The following is a 23851-nucleotide window of genomic DNA, read 5'->3' as shown; positions in this document are numbered from 1 at the left end:
ATTGAGCTCTCTCACCTCCAATCTTTCATTTCTTCTTCACCCGCTTCCTGGAATCCACCGTCCCACCACCCCTGACCCTTGGTCTCACCCCCTCTGGTCTCTCAGGATGTCTGCCCCTCCGGCACGTGGCCTGCCTCCTGCAGTCCTCACACACCTCCCTGGGCTTCCTGCTTTCCTAATGCCATCATGCTAGTCTAGCTGTTTATGATGCTGCCTGCCCCAGAGCTCTGGAGTCTGTGAGCACAGGATCAAGTCCTTGGTTTTCCCTGTGTCCCAGCATCTGGCGTTGGCTTGGGTGGATGTTATGTGAATGGATGCATCTGCCATAGTCTCACGCAGCAAAGGGCGGGGCTCGGGCCTGTGTCCCCTTGGCCTCCTCCTTCTGCTGCAGCATCTGTGCCTGCACAGGCTCTGCCTACGGATTCTGGGAACAGCCTCCTGTCTCTGCAGAAAACAGCTCAAAGCCCTCCTCAGATTTCAGGTCCTCCCAGAAGGCTTCCCAGACGAGGTGGGCTGAATAAGGCTCCTCACCTCCCTCAAGCTTCCGGGATGAGAAATGCTCTTTCCTTCTCTGTCCCTCTAAGCCGACCAAATAAGAAAAATGTAGGGCCTAAAAATGGAAACCAACAAGTTGAACTTCACCATAGAAATGGAGTGAGTGAATATGTGTGTGGGTGTGAAAACTAAGCAGAACTTGAACCCACCATCTGGACATCTGTCCGGGGCCTCCAAGTCCTTCTACAACACACCAGGGAGAAAAGATGGTGCAGCCACAAGCTCTAAGACTTTTACGTGTCCTTGGGGAAGGAAGAAAGGCTTGTCACATTAATTTTTTCTCAACTCCCTACTCTGGAAAATTTCAAATATATTTAAACATTGGGAGAATAGTAAAATAAGCTATCGTGTACCCACCACCAGCTTCACCAATGATCAAGTTATTGCTCAGCAAATATAAATATCTATTCATTAGAGATTTAATGATTAATTTAAAACATTGATTGTATCAAATATTAACAGTGGATATTAATATTAAGTGTTAATATATTTAAATGTTATTTATAAATGTTAATTAATTCAATTATTTATTACAATAATATATACAATAAGGTTTAGAGTGCGTAACATTTATTAGGTTGATGCAAAAGTAATTGTGGTTTTTGCCACTGAAATTAATGCGTTCTTAACACATAGCAACATCTCCAGTCACCTGGACCCAGGCCCAGCTCAAGAACATTCATGTCAGAGGGACAGAAGAGGTAACCTTCCTCTGTGCTTGTGCTTCTATATAAGACAAGAATCTAGTAGCCCCCCATGGGATCGTCTAGTCGCTCCTTGGGTTTCATGAAACTCAAGAGGGGCCTACAAAGTAAATGGCATCTAAGTGTCAGCTGTTACTGGGACATTTTGGCTTTTGGAAAACCTGGGAACAAGAGTCAGCCAACGTGGGATCTTAACAGCTGTGTCATTGGCCATGTGCATAACCTGTCTGGGACTTCATAGTTTTTGGTTTAAAAAATGGAGTAAGACCTGTTTTAGGGACCACATGGATTTCTGAGAAAGAAGGAAGAAAGAGGTGTAGTTAGGCTTTTTTATTATTATTATTATACTTTAAGTTCTAGGGTACATATGCACAACGTGCAGGTTTGTTACATATGTATACCTGTGCCATGTTGGTGTGCTGCACCCATTAACTTGTCATTTACATTAGGTATATCTCTTAATGCGATTCCTCAAGAATCTACAACTAGAAATACCATTTGACCCAGCCATCCTATTACTGGGTATATACCCAAAGGATTCTAAATCATGCTGCTATAAAGACACATGAACACATATGTTTATTGCGGCACTATTCCCAATAGTGAGGCGTAGTTAAGATTAATGTGAGGCTCAAAACCAGGGTCAGAGTCCGCACGCACACCCACCTCTCACCCCACCTGGCTTCAGATAAACTGGGTAGGGGGGCTCCTGGAAAGGCCTCTCTGCACATCGCTCCAGCCACAGCAACAATACCCAGAGACACGGCCTCAAGCCCCCTGGAGTTGGACCGTCTCTGATCTTAGAAGGGTCAGACTAGGACAAAACAAGCCAAAAAGAGAGCTGCTCTTTCCCATCCCTATTTAAATAGAGTGAGACATGCTGAATGCATGATGGCTCTCGAATGTTCCACAGCAGGGGAGCTGCAGCAGAAGGAGGAAGGAAAGGCCAGGGAAGAGGAAGGAGAGAGGTGGAAATCAGAAATCAGGGTGCCTGCACCTGCCAGCAGGGATAGCACTACCCAGTGTTGGGGTCATGGGTAAAAGCAGACAGGCTCCACCTGGATGTCTAATACCTGTCAAGGGACAGCTGGGAGAGTTGCGAGCTGCTCACCCGTCTGCTGGTTATCTGCGTACACATCACACCGGAGGAGATATTGAAAAGGAGTTGTTTTGACAGTTATTTAATTAGGGCTCAGCTATGAATATGCAACCCAGTGGTAGCTAAATTGCCTTGTCCCATCAGTGCTTAATGACATGCTTTCATTCCTATTTCATTACAAAAAAAGGTATAAACTCTGACAGTGACCATCCCTGACGACAAATGAACATTGCTGATTAGAAGCCACCGGTTTGACTGAAAGCAGATGAGGGTTGCCTGGGAATTGGGCAGAGGGTGAAAAGGGGGGGTGACAAGGGCCCAGGACACTATCAGGATGATGGGCATTTTTTATTTATTTATTTATTTATTTATTTATTTATTTATTTATTATTATTATACTTTAAGTTTTAGGGTACATGTGCACAATGTGCAGGTTAGTTACATATGTATACACGTGCCATGCTGGTGCGCTGCACCCACCGACTCGTCATCTAGCATTAGGTATATCTCCCAATGCTATCCCTCCCCGCTCCCCGCACCCGGGCATTTGTTATTGAGACCATGGCGATGGCCTCAGGAGCGCACTGTGTCAAATGCATCAGCACTGTGCGTTTTAAACACCTGCAGCCTCTCCTTCTCAACACAACTGAAGACGGGTCCATGGGCATCATGACCGTTGAGGCCTCTTCATCACTGCTTCCCCCTGAGTTAGTCTCAGAAATCCTCCAAAATAAACCTTGGAGGACTAGTTTTTAAAAATGTTATAATGTTTACAACGACAACAAAAAACCTTAAAAGCCAGGGAGACACGGGGGGAGCTGAGGTTTATAGAACCACCACATCTTTGCAAACATGGTCTCATTTGACGCTTACCACAGCTCTATGAACCTGGTGGTGTTATGACTCCCGTTGTACATGACACACAGTGGCTCTGAGAAGTTACAGAACATAGGTGGTATCTGGTGGAGCCAGTCCGTCTGTCCGGCAACACATTCCCTCTGTTCTCTGAGCATCCCATGCTGCTAACTATGGTGCCACCTTCATTTGCAGGGGATCACAGGACACGCAGGCTGCTTGCTCCTACCACCCTCATAGAGGTCTCTGTTTCCTCATGATCCTGCTTCAGGCCTTGCCATATTGTCATCATGTAATCGTAAGGTAAGCATGATTCTGCATTCTGCTGTTTTCATTTCACGTTGTCAATATTTTCCCGTGGTGCTCATATTTATTTGAAAGCCTTCATAAAACCCAATGAGTTGATGCCTTATGATGATTTATTAATACTTAATCCTAGTGTTAGACAATAAGATTGTTTCTAGTATTTTGCTATATAAGTTACACAACACCCAGCATATCGTGCAACAGGCAGTGTTAGGGAGTGGATGAGAATACAGCCCCACAGTCAGGCTGCCTGGGCTCGAATCCCAGAACTGCCGCAGAATGCTGTGTAGCTTGAGGCAGGTTTTTTTGACCTCTCTGCCCTTCAGTTTCTTAATTGATAAAGCAGAGCTAATACTACCACCTCTCTGAGTCTCCGGGCCCCTAGAACAGAGAGACCTGGCTCCAGTAATGCAGGGTCCTGGGTCCATGGCTTTCCCATCGCAGGCAGCCTCTCTTTTGGTGACCCCTCTTTTCTGTGGCTGCTGTGATAACCCAAACCCCAACTCTAACCCTAACCCTACCACAGACGTAGTGGCTTGGAACAACACAAAGTGACTAGCTTACAGTTCTGTAGAGTAGAAATCCAGCACACATCTCACTGGGCTCAAATCAACGCGCATCCCTCCCTGGAGGCTGCAGGGGAGAGTGGGAGCCTCACCGTTTGCAGCTTCTGGACGCACTTGCTCATCTCCCTTCCTCCAGCCTCAAGGCCGATGGTGTTGGATGAGTTCTCGTGTTGCTCTCTGATGGCTCTCTTCTGATTTCCTCATCCACTTTCAAGGATATAGGATTCATACAGATAATCCAGCATAATCTCCCTACTTTAAAGTCAGGTGATTAGAAAGCTTCATTCTATCTGCAGCCTTCATTCCCTCTTGCAGTGTGACCCAGCCTATCCACAGGTTCTGGGGATTAGGATGTAGATATCTTTAGAGGAGTCCTTATTTGCCTACCACACACTGCTGAGGCTAGAAGCCTAGAAGCCACATATACCCCTGCTCCCTTGCTGGCCAGGTTCTAGCTAGAGTAGCCGAGGGAGACCCCTGCACCAGACTAGAAGGTGGGCGCAGGTGTGCATGCGTGGGCTGTTGCCTCCAGCCGGGGTACTGATGGCCTTCTTATCACTACACAGCACCCCCACCCCACAACCCCCTTCACACCTGCAGCCTAGAAGTAGACGCAGCTTCCTGATCACTAGATCATATCCCTGTCCCCTTTCCTCCATCACTGCTTCAACAGCTTTGTCACAAGCTCCTTGCGTGCATGCCTTGGTCTCCTCCAGCTCCACACAAAGGAGGTGCCAGGAGGGCTGGGAACCGGGACAGAGCCCTGGAGCACCTACCAGGTGCTGGGCACTTGTCATCCGTGGCTTCGTTTAACCCTCCCAACAGCTCTTATTTTGAAGATAGATCCACATGCTTCACTCAGGTCACCCAGGTGGTGTCTGCCGGACACTGTCTTGCCTGCCCAGGGGCCAGGCCTCATCTCAGGGGGCACTGTGGCCTTTTGGGGTGTCTCCTGAGCCTCTCTCAGCTCTCTTTTGAGTTCTGTGGCCCTGAGAGTGGTCAGACCTCCCAGAGACCCCTCCCCAGGCATGTTGGGTTGGGGGCTCTCAGGAAGCCCCCTCTGTCCGGCTGCTTATGGCACCTGTGCTACAGGAATTGTCACGTGTGGACCCTTTACCTCCTCATGATTGGAATATCTTGGTGATCCTCTAATTTATTGTAATAAGCTTTCACAAATGTTAAATGCATCTCCCCCTAGTTCCTGCCTCTTCTGTTCACACAGGATGGACTAGGGTTCGGTGTCTGACTGACCCAGGGGAAACCTGGCTCTGGGAGGCTCACAGCCCCCTCTCCCTCACGAGTGCAATAGGGTCACGGTGCCTCCTCCTGGGGCTGCCTCAAAGATGAAATGGGAGGTCATGGAAGTGCCTAGTGCCACACCTGACGCTTGATATGTGCCTAACACATTATAGTTTCTTATGATTTTAAATTTTAGGTTTGTTGGGTTTTGCTGATTTTAATTTTCAGCGAAATAGCCAAATGCTCTTTTTCACTGAAATTTCTTCTGTTGATTCCATTTTGAAGAAGCTTGCCTCTCTTAGAAGTTGAGGTAAATACTCAGATTTAATTTTAACCAGTTCCCCTCTAATTTCACATATTTAAAACGATTTAACTCCTTCAAGCATCTGGAGTCTATTCTGGAGCATAATGTAAATGTGACTCTAAATGAATTTCCAAATCCCTATGAAATCAACCTAACTTAATTTAATGAATAACTTTTTTTTCCCTAGTGTTTGGTGCTGCTTATTTTAGTGTGTATTAGGTTCTTGTACGCAACAGAGTCTATTACGGGCTCTGAGATATGGATTCACAAGCCATACAAGGACATTCTGTGGATCTGAAAGCGCCTTTGTGTAGCCTCAGATGGGGATGACAACTTGTTGAGTAACTAATTCTCAGAGCATATCCTTTCTGCAGAGCTGAGGCCTATAGATGTGATTCTTTTGTCTTTGGGAAGTGAGAGCATTGGAGAAATCAAAAGCAGCTATGAGTCATACCTGTCACTGTAACATGTCTTTCCTGCTTGGTGATTGCTGAATATTCAGTCTTTTCACTTGGTTTAAAAGTTTTATGAGACACTGTGTTGGTGCAGACTCTGATTGCAAATTTTATCACAGACTCTCTGAACCTTCTCTGTGCCCAGCCTTGGTTCTTTTTTTTTCCCCCAGAATCATCCACTTCACTGTAATCTGGATTTTATTTTCTCTGTGCTGATTATTCTTCTGTTTCCTGATAGTGACTTTAATTGGTCTATTGTGATTTTACGGCATGGCTTTCTTTAAAATAATAACAAGCATCCTGGTTTATTCTTATTGATTTCAAGTGATGTCCTCTTTCATTTCTTTGGGAAGAGATGCCAGCAACTCTAACTTGTTACCTTGATGTCTGACAGAAATGTCAGGCTGTGTAAATTTGGAGATCGTACTGTTTGGCTCTTATGCAGGGTAAACATTTTGGAGGCTGTGTCCTGTGTTTCTGCCCTGCTGTGTTTGGGCTGTTGGCTTTGGTGGCCCCCACACTTGCTGCTGTTTGTACATGTCCCAGGCAGGTAGAAAGGGGAGCACAAGGGTCTGAGAGCTGCCCTTTCAATAAGGGAAGGGATGCCTGCATGGATATGAGCTTATATTTCATTGTTTGACACTGTATTGGTTTCCAAAAACAAAGCACCACAAACTGGGTAGCTTTAAACACCAGAAATGGATTCTCTCACAGTTCTGGAGGCCAGAAGTCTAAAGTCAAGATGTCAGCAGTGCCCTGGTCCCTCTGAAGCTCTGGGGAGGATCCTTCCTGCCTCTCCAGGTTCTGGTGGTGGGCGGCCATCCTTGGGGTTCCTTGGCTAGTGGATCCATCACTCCAATCTCTGCCTTTGTCTTCACATGGCCTTCATCCTATTCCAGTTTCTGTGTCTCTTCTCTTTTCTAGAAAGACACAAGTCATATTGGATCAGGGCCCACTCTATTCCAGGAGGACCCTATCTTACCTAATCACAACTGTAGCGACCCTATTTCCAAAGGAGGTCAGAGTCACAGGTACCTGGGTACCTGGTCATAGTCACAGGTCCCTATATAACCTGCATTCTTGGAGAACATAATTCAATCCACAGTGAATACCATGTCACCTGGACGTCCCTGGTCAAGGCTCTTTTAGTAAGTAAAATGATGAGACTAGGTATTTAGCTGGCTCTAGGGGTGCCTGCCACAATGGTCTGATGCAATGGGGATGATTGCCCCACTCTCCTGAGGTTCAGATGTTGTGTGCCCTGCAGCCTACCTGGCAGCTCCCACATCGTGTCTCTCCCAGTCTCCCCTGCCTTTGCAGATGGCATCAATGTCCACGCAGAGTGCCGGGCAGAGACCTCGGCAGTGCCCTTCATTTCGCTTTCCCTCTACTCATCTGCCCAGCCCATCAGCATCCCGTCAGTTCCTTCTTGAGAAGATGACATTTCCCATATCTACTGCCATGAGCCCACCTTAAGTAATCAAATAACCAGCTAAAGACTGCCTTGATCTCTCCCCAGGTCACTGCAAGAGCCTCATCACCCTCTTCCTGACCCATTCTCTGCACAGCTGCCACAGTGGTTATTATCCTGTGCTCCAAACCATGCATCTGCTTTGCTGAACCCCAAACTGGGCTCTTGTGTCCCTGTGAGACCAGCCCCTTCCCTCCTCTCCTCCTCACCTCTTCCCACTCTCCCCTTCCTCACTCCCTTTCTGCACAGGAGTCTTCCCTCTGTGCTGGAACACACCAAGCTCATTGGGGCTCAGGACCTCTGCCCGGGATCTTGCCACTGCCCCTGGTCTCTGAGATGAGCTCTGTGAGGGTGGGATGATGGATGATGCTGAGGATGGGGCGGCTCTAATGCGAGGAGTCCTCTGGGTGGGTGCTGGTGCTCTCTGTTCACATTTAATCAGGAAATTCTTGAGCACATTAACTGGGAACTGATTATTCCAAAAGTTAAGGATGGATTCAGCTTCTTTTCTTTCTTTTGGCCTAAAGCCTTTGAAGTCTCACAACTTTTCCTGATAATAATGGCATGAAAGAGATATTTGTATTTTTTTAACTTTTATATAAAACTACAAAAGAAAGAACAAGAGCTATCAATAAGCTTAAAAGAAATGGGAAACTTACAAACAGGAGGGAAATTATGTTATTTTGCCATTTGGTTTACAGACCGGTGGGAGGACATGAATAACACATAAGAAACCATACTGGGGAGGAGGAGCCAAGATGGCCGAATAGGAACAGCTCCGGTCTACAGCTCCCAGCGTGAGCAACGCAGAAGACGGGTGATTTCTGCATTTCCATCTGAGGTACCGGGTTCATCTCACTAGGGAGTGCCAGACAGTGGGCGCAGGCCAGTGTGTGTGCGCACCGTGCGCGAGCCGAAGCAGGGCGAGGCATTGCCTCACCTGGGAAGCGCAAGGGGTCAGGGAGTTCCCTTTCCAAGTCAAAGAAAGGGGTGACGGACGCACCTGGAAAATCGGGTCACTCCCACCCGAATATTGCGCTTTTCAGACCGGCTTAAGAAATGGCGCACCACGAGATTATATCCCGCACCTGGCTCGGAGGGTCCTACGCCCACGGAATCTCGCTGATTGCTAGCACAGCAGTCTGAGATCAAACTGCAAGGCGGCAACGAGGCTGGGGGAGGGGCGCCCGCCATTGCCCAGGCTTGCTTAGGTAAACAAAGCAGCCAGGAAGCTCGAACTGGGTGGAGCCCACCACAGCTCAAGGAGGCCTGCCTGCCTCTGTAGGCTCCACCTCTGGGGGCAGGGCACAGACAAACAAAAAGACAGCAGTAACCTCTGCAGACTTAAGTGTCCCTGTCTGACAGCTTTGAAGAGAGCAGTGGTTCTCCCAGCACGCAGCTGGAGATCTGAGAACAGGCAGACTGCCTCCTCAAGTGGGTCCCTGACCCCTGACCCCTGAGCAGCCTAACTGAGAGGCACCCCCCAGCAGGGGCACACTGACACCTCACATGGCAGGGTATTCCAACAGACCTGCAGCTGAGGGTCCTGTCTGTTAGAAGGAAAACTAACAACCAGAAAGGACATCTACACCGAAAACCCATCCGTACATCACCATCATCAAAGACCAAAAGTAGATAAAACCACAAAGATGGGGAAAAAACAGAACAGAAAAACTGGAAACTCTAAAACGCAGAGCGCCTCTCCTCCTCCAAAGGAACGCAGTTCCTCACCAGCAACAGAACAAAGCTGGATGGAGAATGATTTTGACGAGCTGAGAGAAGAAGGCTTCAGACGATCAAATTACTCTGAGCTACGGGAGGACATTCAAACCAAAGGCAAAGAAGTTGAAAACTTTGAAAAAAATTTAGAAGAATGTATAACTAGAATAACCAATACAGAGAAGTGCTTAAAGGAGCTGATGGAGCTGAAAACCAAGGCTCGAGAACTACGTGAAGAATGCAGAAGCCTCAGGAGCCGATGCGATCGACTGGAAGAAAGGGTATCAGCAATGGAAGATGAAATGAATGAAATGAAGCGAGAAGGGAAGTTTAGAGAAAAAAGAATAAAAAGAAATGAGCAAAGCCTCCAAGAAATATGGGACTATGTGAAAAGACCAAATCTACGTCTGATTGGTGTACCTGAAAGTGATGTGGAGAATGGAACCAAGTTGGAAAACACTCTGCAGGATATTATCCAGGAGAACTTCCCCAATCTAGCAAGGCAGGCCAACGTTCAGATTCAGGAAATACAGAGAACGCCACAAAGATACTCCTCGAGAAGAGCAACTCCAAGACACATAATTGTCAGATTCACCAAAGTTGAAATGAAGGAAAAAATGTTAAGGGCAGCCAGAGAGAAAGGTCGGGTTACCCTCAAAGGAAAGCCCATCAGACTAACAGCGGATCTCTCGGCAGAAACCCTACAAGACAGAAGAGAGTGGGGGCCAATATTCAACATTCTTAAAGAAAAGAATTTTCAACCCAGAATTTCATATCCAGCCAAACTAAGCTTCATAAGTGAAGGAGAAATAAAATACTTTATAGACAAGCAAATGCTGAGAGATTTTGTCACCACCAGGCCTGCCCTAAAAGAGCTCCTGAAGGAAGCGCTAAACATGGAAAGGAACAACCGGTACCAGCCACTGCAAAATCATGCCAAAATGTAAAGACCATCGAGACTAGGAAGAAACTGCATCAACTAATGAGCAAAATCACCAGCTAACATCATAATGACAGGATCAAATTCACACATAACAATATTAACTTTAAATATAAATGGACTAAATTCTGCAATTAAAAGACACAGACTGGCAAGTTGGATAAAGAGTCAAGACCCATCAGTGTGCTGTATTCAGGAAACCCATCTCACGTGCAGAGACACACATAGGCTCAAAATAAAAGGATGGAGGAAGATCTACCAAGCCAATGGAAAACAAAAAAAGGCAGGGGTTGCAATCCTAGTCTCTGATAAAACAGACTTTAAACCAACAAAGATCAAAAGAGACAAAGAAGGCCATTACATAATGGTAAAAGGATCAATTCAACAAGAGGAGCTAACTTTCCTAAATATTTATGCACCCAATACAGGAGCACCCAGATTCATAAAGCAAGTCCTCAGTGACCTACAAAGAGACTTAGACTCCCACACATTAATAATGGGAGACTTTAACACCCCACTGTCAACATTAGACAGATCAACGAGACAGAAAGTCAACAAGGATACCCAGGAATTGAACTCAGCTCTGCACCAAGCAGACCTAATAGACATCTACAGAACTCTCCACCCCAAATCAACAGAATATACATTTTTTTCAGCACCACACCACACCTATTCCAAAATTGACCACATAGTTGGAAGTAAAGCTCTCCTCAGCAAATGTAAAAGAACAGAAATTATAACAAACTATCTCTCAGACCACAGTGCAATCAAACTAGAACTCAGGATTAAGACTCTCACTCAAAGCCGCTCAACTACATGGAAACTGAACAACCTGCTCCTGAATGACTACTGGGTACATAACGAAATGAAGGCAGAAATAAAGATGTTCTTTGAAACCAACGAGAACAAAGACACCACATACCAGAATCTCTGGGACGCATTCAAAGCAGTGTGTAGAGGGAAATTTATAGCACTAAATGCCTACAAGAGAAAGCAGGAAAGATCCAAAATTGACACCCTAACATCACAATTAAAAGAACTAGAAAAGCAAGAGCAAACACATTCAAAAGCTAGCAGAAGGCAAGAAATAACTAAAATCAGAGCAGAACTGAAGGAAATAGAGACACAAAAAACCCTTCAAAAAATCAATGAATCCAGGAGCTGGTTTTTTGAAAGGATCAACAAAATTGATAGACCGCTAGCAAGACTAATAAAGAAAAAAAGAGAGAAGAATCAAATAGACACAATAAAAAATGATAAAGGGGATATCACCACCGATCCCACAGAAATACAAACTACCATCAGAGAATACTACAAACACCTCTACGCAAATAAACTAGAAAATCTAGAAGAAATGGATACATTCCTCGACACATACACTCTCCCAAGACTAAACCAGGAAGAAGTTGAATCTCTGAATAGACCAATAACAGGCTCTGAAATTGTGGCAATAATCAATAGTTTACCAACCAAAAAGAGTCCAGGACCAGATGGATTCACAGCCGAATTCTACCAGAGGTACAAGGAGGAACTGGTACCATTCCTTCTGAAACTATTCCAATCAATAGAAAAAGAGGGAATCCTCCCTAACTCATTTTATGAGGCCAGCATCATTCTGATACCAAAGCCGGGCAGAGACACAACCAAAAAAGAGAATTTTAGACCAATATCCTTGATGAACATTGATGCAAAAATCCTCAATAAAATACTGGCAAACCGAATCCAGCAGCACATCAAAAAGCTTATCCACCATGATCAAGTGGGCTTCATCCCTGGGATGCAAGGCTGGTTCAATATACGCAAATCAATAAATGTAATCCAGCATATAAACAGAGCCAAAGGCAAAAACCACATGATTATCTCAATAGATGCAGAAAAAGCCTTTGACAAAATTCAACAACCCTTCATGCTAAAAACTCTCAATAAATTAGGTATTGATGGGACGTATTTCAAAATAATAAGAGCTATCTATGACAAACCCACAGCCAATATCATACTGAATGGGCAAAAACTGGAAGCATTCCCTTTGAAAACTGGCACAAGACAGGGATGCCCTCTCTCACCGCTCCTATTCAACATAGTGTTGGAAGTTCTGGCCAGGGCAATCAGGCAGGAGAAGGAAATAAAGGGTATTCAATTAGGAAAAGAGGAAGTCAAATTGTCCCTGTTTGCAGACGACATGATTGTTTATCTAGAAAACCCCATCGTCTCAGCCCAAAATCTCCTTAAGCTGATAAGCAACTTCAGCAAAGTCTCAGGATACAAAATCAATGTACAAAAATCACAAGCATTCTTATACACCAACAACAGACAAACAGAGAGCCAAATCATGGGTGAACTCCCATTCACAATTGCTTCAAAGAGAATAAAATACCTAGGAATCCAACTTACAAGGGATGTGAAGGACCTCTTCAAGGAGAACTACAAACCACTGCTCAAGGAAATAAAAGAGGACACAAACAAATGGAAGAACATTCCATGCTCATGGGTAGGAAGAATCAATATCGTGAAAATGGCCATACTGCCCAAGGTAATTTACAGATTCAATGCCATCCCCATCAAGCTACCAATGACTTTCTTCACAGAATTGGAAAAAACTACTTTAAAGTTCATATGGAACCAAAAAAGAGCCCGCATTGCCAAGTCAATCCTAAGCCAAAAGAACAAAGCTGGAGGCATCACACTACCTGACTTCAAACTATACTACAAGGCTACAGTAACCAAAACAGCATGGTACTGGTACCAAAACAGAGATATAGATTAATGGAACAGAACAGAGCCCTCAGAAATAATGCCGCATATCTACAACTATCTGATCTTTGACAAACCTGAGAAAAACAAGCAATGGGGAAAGGATTCCCTATTTAATAAATGGTGCTGGGAAAACTGGCTAGCCATATGTAGAAAGCTGAAACCGGATCCCTTCCTTACACCTTATACAAAAATCAATTCAAGATGGATTAAAGATTTAAACGTTAAACTAAAACCATAAAAACCCTAGAAGAAAACCTAGGCATTACCATTCAGGACATAGGCGTGGGCAAGGACTTCATGTCCAAAACACCAAAAGCAATGGCAACAAAAGACAAAATTGACAAATGGGATCTAATTAAACTAAAGAGCTTCTGCACAGCAAAAGAAACTACCATCAGAGTGAACAGGCAACCTACAACATGGGAGAAAATTTTCGCAACCTACTCATCTGACAAAGGGCTAATATCCAGAATCTACAATGAACTCAAACAAATTTACAAGAAAAAAACAAACAACCCCATCAAAAAGTGGGTGAAGGACATGAACAGACACTTCTCAAAAGAAGACATTTATGCAGCCAAAAAACACATGAAGAAATGCTCATCATCACTGGCCATCAGAGAAATGCAAATCAAAACCACTATGAGATATCATCTCACACCAGTTAGAATGGCAATCATTAAAAAGTCAGGAAACAACAGGTGCTGGAGAGGATGCGGAGAAATAGGAACACTTTTACACTGTTGGTGGGACTGTAAACTAGTTCAACCATTGTGGAAGTCAGTGTGGCGATTCCTCAGGGATCTAGAACTAGAAATACCATTTGACCCAGCCATCCCATTACTGGGAATATACCCAAATGAGTATAAATCATGCTGCTATAAAGACACATGCACACGTATGTTTATTGCGGCACTATTCACAATAGCAAAGACTTGGAACCAACCCAAATGTCCAACAATGATAGACTGGATTAAGAAAATGTGGCACATATACACCATGGAATACTATGCAGCCATAAAAAATGATGAGTTCATATCCTTTGTAGGGACATGGATGAAATTGGAAACCATCATTCTCAGTAAACTATCGCAAGAACAAAAAACCAAACACCGCATATTCTCACTCATAGGTGGGAATTGAACAATGAGATCACATGGACACAGGAAGGGGAATATCACACTCTGGGGACTGTGGTGGGGTCGGGGGAGGGGGGAGGGATAGCATTGGGAGATATACCTAATGCTAGATGACACATTAGTGGGTGCAGCGCACCAGCATGGCACATGTATACATATGTAACTAACCTGCACAATGTGCACATGTACCCTAAAACTTAGAGTATAATAAAAAAAAAAAAAAAAAAAAAGAAACCATACTGGCTAGTTCTGAAAAGTAGGGGGTTGGTGCTGAATGATTGTGAGATGCAGAATGTTAGTGGGACAGGGTCCAGAGAAAATGGGCTTCACCAGTGCAAGGAAGAAAGGTCGGGAAGTTGTGAATGTGAACTTGAAAGCCACGAGGCCACGCTTGTCAGAACTGTGCTGAAGTAAGAGCTAATTCGGAGTGTCTTTTCTCTGTGGTGAAGTCGTGGGCTTTGTTCCAGTCCCCTCAAGTCCTCTTTGCTTGATTTTGGTTTCTTGATGGAATCCCAGAGGGCCGAGATTGCTGCAATCCCATGACGATGCCTAGAATCACAGATGTTTGGTCTGGCTTTCTGTTTCACCTCTCCTATATGGCAGCTCATTGTTGGACCTCCTTTTCTTCTTCCTGTCTGCATAGGAAAAGAATGTCCCCCTCGCTATAAATGAAACAGAGAAGACCAAGATGAAGAGGAAGATGAGCGCAGTGCAGCATGCCGAGGCACCGGGGACTCAGCAGGGACTCAGGAGAAGAGAGACCCTGTGGAAACAGGACGAGCTGTCCTATGAGAGGTCTCCGGAGGTAGGCTCTGAGTTCCATGCCACATGCACAGCCTCATGGCAGTGGCCTCTCAGGAGGATAGTGGGTCCCCACCTTCTGGGGGAGCACACCAGGTCCTGTAGCACAACGCCACAGGTAATGGCAGATCAAGACTCTAGCATAGGAGGACTCTCCCCTCCCTCACTCTCTCGCCAATCTCCCTTCCTTCCTTCCTTCCTTTCAACTACCCATTTTTCCTTTTATCCATCCATCCATCATCTACCTCTTTCCAGAAAAGGAGAAAATTTACAAAGAGGCAGGTAATACTTTAAGATACAGATATGAAGTTGTTATAAGAACAATATACAAAAGGTAAAATGAGTATAGGAAGCTGAGCTGAAGCCAGAAGTTATATTATCATACAAAACACAAGCCTCTAAATGCTAAGCACCTTCTAGAGATCAGCAACATCCTGTCTCTGAGCTTCCTAGCAGCTGATGGGAATGGGGAAACAGGATAACATGATCAGTCCCTTGACTCTCAGTATCCGTAAGGTAAAAATAAACTCACTGCCAAGGAAAAGTTTGGCTTCAAGTGATTTAGAGACCAGTGAAAATGTTCCCAGGGCTTTTGTAGAAGAGGAGGTTTGAGGTTTAGCCAGGAACAAGGCTGGTGAGCAACCACCCCTAGCTGAACATGCTAGACCCCTGTTAAGGGAAACTCTAGGGACAGACTCAATCAAAAGAGTGAACAAAACAGACAAAATTTCTGTTCTCATTGAGCTTTCTCTCTAGAGGGGAGAGACAGGCAGTAGACACATAAGTAAGTAAAAAATAAAGAATAGAGAGTTTTTTTTTCTCATATGGTGATATGTGCTATGGAGAAATATGAAGCTGGGGAGGGGGTTGGGAAAGCAGGGGATATGGGCGAGGGGGACAGAAATCTGAATAGAAAAGTCAGGAAGGTTGTGCTACAGTGACAGTGATGTTTAAACAAAGACCTTCAGGAAGCAAGGGAGCCCGCCGAGCAGATACTTGAAGAGAGAACCGGGTTAGAATCCTAATCACACTGGGTTTAGTAAGCAGAGTGCAAGTTTAAAGCCCTTTAAAAATTAATCTCACCCGGGCCGGGCATTGTGGCTCACGCCTGTAATCCCAGCACTTTGGGAGGCCGAGGCGGGTGGATCACGAGATCAGGAGATCGAGACCATCCTGGCTAACACAGTGAAACCCCGTCTCTACTGAAAATACAAAAAAATTAGCCATGTGTGGTGGCGCATGCCTGTAATCCCAGCTACTTGGGAGGCTGAGGCGAGAGAATGGCGTGAACCCGGAAGGCAGAGCTTGCAGTGAGCTGAGATGGTGCCACTGCATTCCAGCCTGGGCGACAGAGCAAGACTCTGTCTCAAAAAAAAAAAAAAAATTAAAAATCTCACCCAGCCGAGTTCAGGTGATGCCGAAAAACCCACATTTTGTGAACCCATGAGACGTAGTCATAGCACTGGTGCAGGGCAGGGACTGGGCATGCCTCCTGGGGCTGTCCGCACCCTGAGAAACAGGAGAGACAGGAGGACATGAAATCCTGCACCCCACGCACTCCCTTCATAAGGCTTCTCTCCTCTGTGGACTCTGAGACAGGCTAAGCTTGGGACTCTCACCACAAAGAAAGGAGTTTAGCAGAAACACAGGGAAGCCAAGGGAACCCCAAAAATCCAACTGGACATTGAGGGTCCCAACCAAGCAGTGCCTTCTGCCACCCAGCACTCACTGTTTGCAGCCCTGGAACACGCGTGAGACTCTGCGTCTCTGCTCCTGTCTGAGCCTGAGCCTCTTGCCACACCGAGCCAGCTTCCTGTGCCCAAAAGTGTGCATTTTCCAGGGGACCCACCTGTGTGCACCTGAAGAATCAGCTGACCAAATTGCATTTATTGAGGGAAAGCGTGTGGGTTTCTGTCCACCATGACACTGCCTCAGCTATTTTCAGAGGTGATTTGTTTTGCTGGTATTTTATTGTGGTTTTAAATGAAGATACTTTTGTCTTTCTCTGTTTATATGAATGGCTGAGCAGGCAGTATTGTTCAGAGAGGAAATCTCTTGTATTGGAGGTCGTGAATGTTCCAGGGCTATAAATACAACGAGAATGTGTGAAGTCTGTGACTTCAGGAATTCCAATAAAATGAAGAGAGGAAAATTGCACAGTGTTTACACTCTTATGACTCCCAATGCAAGATGGGCCAAGAGCAAAGTTGGAGACCAACGAAGCAGGGAGAATGACTAAGGCCAGCCTCCCCGCCTGCTCCCTGGCAGTGGGGCTCCTGAGGCGCCTCCCTCCACTCACCACTTGACTGCAAGAAACAAAACAACGCATGAAATGTACAAGTCACCAGGCAGCCATGAGGAGCGGGGCCACTTCTTGGCTCGCTGGTGGCCCCTGGCAGGAAGCTCTGGAACTAACAGGGGACAGATTTTTGTCCCAAAGGAGGGAGGTTGTCAGGGAGTAATTGGAGGACTTAGGCACCTGCTGGAGTGAGATTTGGGTCCTGCAGGTCTGTGGCACCCTGAGGCCCCTCTGGATGGGTCACTAGGTGTATGTTGATGTCCTGCTGGTTCTTCCTGTCCGTGCCACTGCCTGAAAGGAGAACACTGCAGCTGGCAGGTGGATGCCCACCCCCTGTGCCCTGCTTGGCTGGCAGGGACTGGAGCTGCCAGACCATGCATCCCCCAGGGGGTGGGCCACCTGTCCAAGATGGGAGAGGAGAGGTAGAGAACATGGCCATTTGTAACATAGGCGGGGATAGGATACTGAAATGTTCAAATGGTATATCAAAATATAAGAAATCTGAAATCCCGCCACCAAGGATAATTTTCAATTGTGCTAAAATTTCGTTTTTGAGTCTACGACTGACTGTAGTACCTTACTCCCTGCAGCATGCCCCCGCGCTGGGCACTGTGTCCCCTGACTTCCCTAGTGGGCAGATTTGGGATTTGGTGGGATGTGGCTTGAGGCCTTGTTGTCCTCTGAAACACTCTGGGCAGAAAAGGTGGAACCTTCCCTGAAGGTAGTGGGATGCTGATCCCGAGGATGGGCCACCTTCTCAGTGGGCCACAAAGGTCCAATATAGGTGGACAGTGTGGCCTCTACACAGGGCATCTGGGGGCACTTCTCCCCATGGAAGTCCCCTAGGGATGATGAATGATGCCTCCACTGGGAATTTCATTCTGGGCATAGCAGCCTTGGTGTCTGTTCTGGAGCTTCTCAGGCAGCCATTCTGGAAGACGGTGTGCGCTGGGAATTGCCTTCTGGGCATAGCAGCCTCGGTGTCTGTTCTGGAGCTTCTCAGGCAGCCATTCTGGAAGATGGTGGAGCCATGCCGCTGCACTGTGGGAAGCTGCTCTCAGTCTTCCCGGGCTGCAAAGCCTCGGGAACTAACCTGGGCTTTCTGGGGCCTTTCTCCGGTCAGTCTGCAGCACTGACTCCTGGACACCTGAGCATCCATCCATTCCCTCCCTGCAGGAAGCTCCTCAGTGCTTCCTTCCTACAGAGCCCCGATTTCACTTTCCTCCCTGTCAGCTCATTCCCACAGCTCCCCAGCAGCATGTCATAGTAACAGGCTTTGGGAAAGGATGCAGGACTTTCCTCTCCTCCCAGGAAACTGACTAGGCTGCATCTACAAAATGACATTGCTGTTTGGACAGAGGTCATTCCCAAAGGAACAGGGAAGTTGGGGGCAAAAGGCAACCCAAAAGCTGTTCCAGTAGCCCTCCCAGAAGTCTAGGGCTCCTCCTCCTCCTCTTCTTTCTCTTCCCCGTTTTCTTCTTCTTCCTCCTCCTCCTCCTCTTCCACCTCTTCAGAAAAACAGAAGCTTGCTCATTATTAACTGACTTTTGAGGTTTAAAAATATATACTTTACAAATCAAAGTTCATTATAAAGTTCAGACTTCAGGATTGTAACGTAGAGGGACTTTTTAAATAAAATAAATGAAGATAAGAAAAAAGTAGGGCAGTCAGGACTGTCTGGCTCAGTGAATCTTGTTAACTACACAGATCTTTGAAGTAAAAATATTCTGGCTGTAGAGCAAATTAGTTTTAAGAGATAAAACCTTTCTTCAAAAGTATTACCATGAAGAACGGCAAATGAAGTCTTGCTTCCAGAAAGATGGAGTAGACACATTTTTCCCTATTCTTCCCACTAAGTCACTAAGTGAGCTAAAAATCCTGGACGTCATATAAAAAACAAACATAAGGAGACTCTGGAAGGTGGAAAGAAGGCATACTGTTTAGAAATTTCAGAACCCAAGGAACGACACGAAGGTGAGTTCCCTGGGTTTTCTTGATGCCTCATGTATCCCAGATTTTGAGCAGAAGAGCTGAAAATCCCAATGGGCACAGATGATAAAACCCTGAACAAAAGCCTGCTCCCTCCAGCTGAAGGACCAGGGCAGCCCATCAAGACAGAAACTTCAGGAAAACAATCACTCTTTTCCAGCCAAACGCTACAGAAAACCACTGGCCTGCCTTTTCCCACACTGGCAAAGGCCAAGGACCAGGGTGCCCAGCCTTCTGCCCCCAGGGAGGCTATAACAAGGTGCTTCCTCTTCTTTTGGGAGGAGAAGAACACAGTGGCTGTGGTGGGATGAGGAGTGACAGTGTCATCACTGGGGAAGCCAGTGGGTAGCAGAGGGCATGCCTGGGCAGACGGAGAAGGAGAGAGCCTCACTGAGTAGGAAGGAACTTGGACTGGCTCTGCCCTCTTCCCTCCCAGCTGGTCCTGACCCTGGAGGCACAGGCAGGGTTGGAGGAGTGGGTCTAGCCCATGCTCCTGTTGCACAGCCTGTGAGAGGCTGAGCCCCAGCTTCACCCTGCCAGTGTCTGCAGGTCCCTCTCGCACACGTGGCTGGCTGAGCTTAATTCAGGACCCATGACACTCAGTAAGAGTCCGGTGGGATGCAGCTTCAGCCTTGGGGAAATGACTATGTTTAGGAACTCAGATCTGCTCAAGGCCTCCATCCATATGGGGTTTTTCTATATGAAACATTCAAATAAAATGGCCCAAACCCTTATCCAGCCCAGGGCCTTCTCCCAGTGTCCAAGGATTCCTGGGTCATCTCTTCTTTCACATTCCTGCTCCCACTAAATTCTCAGTCTTCAATTTGCCCACCTGCCTCCTGGGGCTGCTGGGCCCTCTCTGCCTTCACCCCCTGCCCAGGAGATGAATAGCACCCTCTCTCCTTCACCGTGTCAGTGCTACCATCTGTTTAAACAAGATGCCACTCAAGATGGGGGGAAGGGTGGTATTTAGAACCTCAAGTAGAATATTAACTATCTCTGTCTCTACAAAGGGGTGGGTCTCCCCTCATAAGGGGAACTTCTCACTGGTCTGGGTCCCCCCTTAGACTCTGGCTTCTCATCTATGTTTCTAGGCCTCTCTTTCCCTGCAAATTGCTTATTCAGACCTTGACCCTCTTCCCTGGTCACTAAGAAGCCAACAGTGGAGATCCCCAAATTCCTGATACTTTATCCTGCAGAATGATTTAGTGCTCTGCTCCCTACCTTCCTCCTCAGGCATGGGGCTCCTCCCAGGTGCTGCCTGTATCAGCCTGTTTTCACACTGCTGTAAAGATACTATCTGAGACTGGGTAATTTATAAAGAAGAAAGGTTTAATTGACTCACAGTTCCACATGGCTGTGGAGGCCTCAGGACACTTACGCTCATGGCTGAAGGTGAAGGGGAAGCAAAGCATGTCTTACATGGCGGCAGGAAAAACAGAGCATGAAGGGGGAACTGCCAGACACTTTTAAAACCATCAGCTCTCGTGAGAACTCACTCACTATCATGAGAACAGCACGGGGGAAACCGTCCCCATGATCCAGTCACTTCCCACCAGGTTCCTCCCTTAACACATGGGGATTACATTTGAGATGAGATTTGGGTGGGGACACAAAGCCAAACCATATCCCTGCCTGTTCCAACCCAGGTGTCAGATGTTTTCTCCAGCAGGAGTGATCTGCCTCCCATAGGAACCCTGCTCCGCCCCACAAATACAGAAGTGTGGCCATCACTTCTTTTTTAAAAGCCTTTATTGGAATTTTTTTCTCATATTCATAAAATACAGTGTGCTGCCAAGTTGACTGGTACAGTATAGCAAGAAGAGATCTCAGGAAACAAAGGAGAAGGACCCCGGGCAGCGACGGGCAGGGAGACACAGCTTAGTTGAGCCTGGAGGCTTGCTCCCCTGAGAGCCAGGAGACTTCTGGGCTGGACAGATGGACCAAGGAGCTTAAGCCAGCTGCACTTACCAGGACTGGGCCTTCAGCAGGAAGGAAGGCTCTGTGAGGAGAGAGGAAGATGTCTCTCTTAAGGGAGAGAGGACAGGGCCTGAAACAGAAAAGTTCAACCTCACCTCTGGGCAAGATGTTCTGGAAACGAAATATGTAAGATTTGTCTCCTAGTTTGGGCCAGGCCTGCCTTTATTCCCTCTGCAGCCGGAGCTGTGCCTTGACCCACACCCACCCTGCCACCACAGTGTCTGCTGTACCCAAGGCAACCCATCTGATAATATGAAAGTGAGGGGGGGATTTGGTGAGAGAGCACTTTTCCCAGAGGGGAGGTCAGAAGGGGAGAAGGGCCCACCCAGCTCTGTGTGGGTTCTGGGAGCACAACCTCTCAATTTTGTTAGAATTAACCTTTCTCCTGAAGCACTGCAGCTGCAAAGAGGCAGATGTGTGTCGATCAACATGTGAGCCTGGAGATGCCTCTGAAGGATGCCCATCAACAAGATGGCTTTCTGGGTTTTGTTTTAGTTCTCTTGTTTGCTTTCAAATAACAGAACATATCAACAGATGCATTGGCCAGACGATGCCTCCCTAGCATTTAGCAAAATATCAAGCAGTTTTTTGATGCCCAAAAGATTCCTTGTTTCTGCAGTGGGTCTGGAGGGATGCAGCTCCTTGAACCATGGGAAGAATCAGAGCTTTATTTTTTTTTCTCTTTACGAAGAGCTACCAAGAAGGGCTGGAAATTATCTGGTTCATCCCCTGCCTCCAGATTCCCCGATCAGTTTGGTCTGACCCAAGAGCCACCTTAGTTTCTTCATGTGGACGATTGTCACAGGGACAAATGGTCTTCACCCTCTCCAGTTGTTACTGCTGTCAGTAAAAATTGAGTATGCATTGCCAATATATGCAGTAGTTATGTATTGAAACGTACATATTCCAGGACTACTTTAGTAACACATTCTGTACAAAAATAGAAGTTAAAAATAGATTAAGTAAAAATAAAATATGAATGTACTAATTTGGAAAGTGTGCCCCCAAAATTCATGTCCTCTCTTGAAGCTCAGAATGTGACCTTATTTGGAAACAGGATCTTTGGAGGTATAATTCCTTAAGATGAGGTTGCCCTGGAGGAGGGTGGACCCTTAGTCCAATATGACTCGCATCCTGATAATAAGAGACTGAGACACGCAGGGAGAATGCCAGGTGACACCAGAGGCAGAGACCAGAGTGATGCAGCTACAAGTCAAGGCACCAAGAATGGCTGGCGGCCCCAGAAACTAGGAGAGAGGCATGGAAGGCCCTCCCCTAGAGCCTTCAGTGAGAGCATGGCCTGCTCACACCTTGATCTTGGACTTCTAGTCTCCAGAATGGTGAGACAAGAAATTTCTGTTGTTTTAAGCCATTTTGTTTGTGGGCATGTATTATGACAGCAGTAGGCAATTAATACACTAAGATTTTAATATTTTCATTTTGCTCCTCAATGGGGTGTCTTGTACAACCTCTGTATGACCTCCACTTTCGAGACCATAGATCAGAGGTGTCCACAGCAGGCCAAGAAGGGAACTGAAGGCAGGGACAGGGCTGCCTGGGGTGAGCAGGGGCTGGTCAGCCCCACTCCCAGGAGCTGCTGTGTCCTGATTGGTCCCTGTAGGTGCATCACTGATTTCTAACTGGAAAACTTGGAAAAGATTTATTGCTCCTGACTTGTCAACCAATCAGAAGAGAGTTATTAGCTGGCTCCAGCGTGTTCCTCCTAGACTTTTCTGTGGGGCTCCAGATTCACCTGCCTGCTGGGACCCTGCATCTGTTTTCTGGGGCCCTTGGGCTCAAGATGTCTACAGCTGAGTGCTTGGTTTCCTTCTGCAGCTTGTTCCCCTCAGCCCCAAGTGAGGCCAGTGTTAAGATCATTCATAAAGTTTCCCAAATCAGGAATCTAAGAGTCATCTTGGAAGCCTCTCTCCCTGGTCCCTCAACTTCAGCACATTTTGTTGATCATGCTGATAATCAGCAATGGTCCGTCCTCTACTCTCTGGAATACATAGGATGAAGTGAAAACCCCTGGCTTAGCCCCCAGTCTCTTTATCAAGGGTCTGCAACAGACACTGTGGTCCTGCCACACACAAGCTCCTCCCAACTTCCTGGGTCTTTTTTCTTTTCTTCTTTTTTTTATTATTTCTTTTTTCTTTTCTTTTTTATTCTTCTATAGAGCCTGGAAAGCTAAATACTTGATTTTTCTAGACACCTGCCATAGAGTGGCCATAGGACCCTGTTGTGGCCAACAGGACGTAAGCGGAGATCTACTTGGGAAGGCTTTCACTCTTGGAAAGAAGAAGGGATTTTGCCCTCTGCCTTCTTCCTACATGGAAAACAGATGTCTGGAAGTGCAGCAGCTATCTTGTGAGTAGGAGGGCAATAGTCTCAGTGGAAGGATGGTAGAGGACAAAGAGAGATACAGAGGCTGGAACCCTCATGGCTTCGTTGAGCAGCCATTGGCCTGGGATAACCTACCCCCAAGTTACACAAGGAAGAGAGACTCTTAATTGTTAGCCACTCTTGGTCACATTTCCTCTTGTTCCAGTTGCATTCCAACTGGTCCTGGAACATTGTGGTTGCTCAGTAAGTGTGAGCTCCTTTCCCTTCTCCACTTGCTTGCTGCCTGACGTAGTCACTCTCTCCATTTCCTGAGGAATTTTCTAGAACTCTAAG

Source organism: Homo sapiens, chromosome 2, assembly GCF_000001405.40.
Source record: "Homo sapiens chromosome 2, GRCh38.p14 Primary Assembly".
NCBI classification, from domain to species: Eukaryota; Metazoa; Chordata; class Mammalia; order Primates; family Hominidae; genus Homo; species Homo sapiens.
This window is presented reverse-complemented; position numbering follows the sequence as displayed.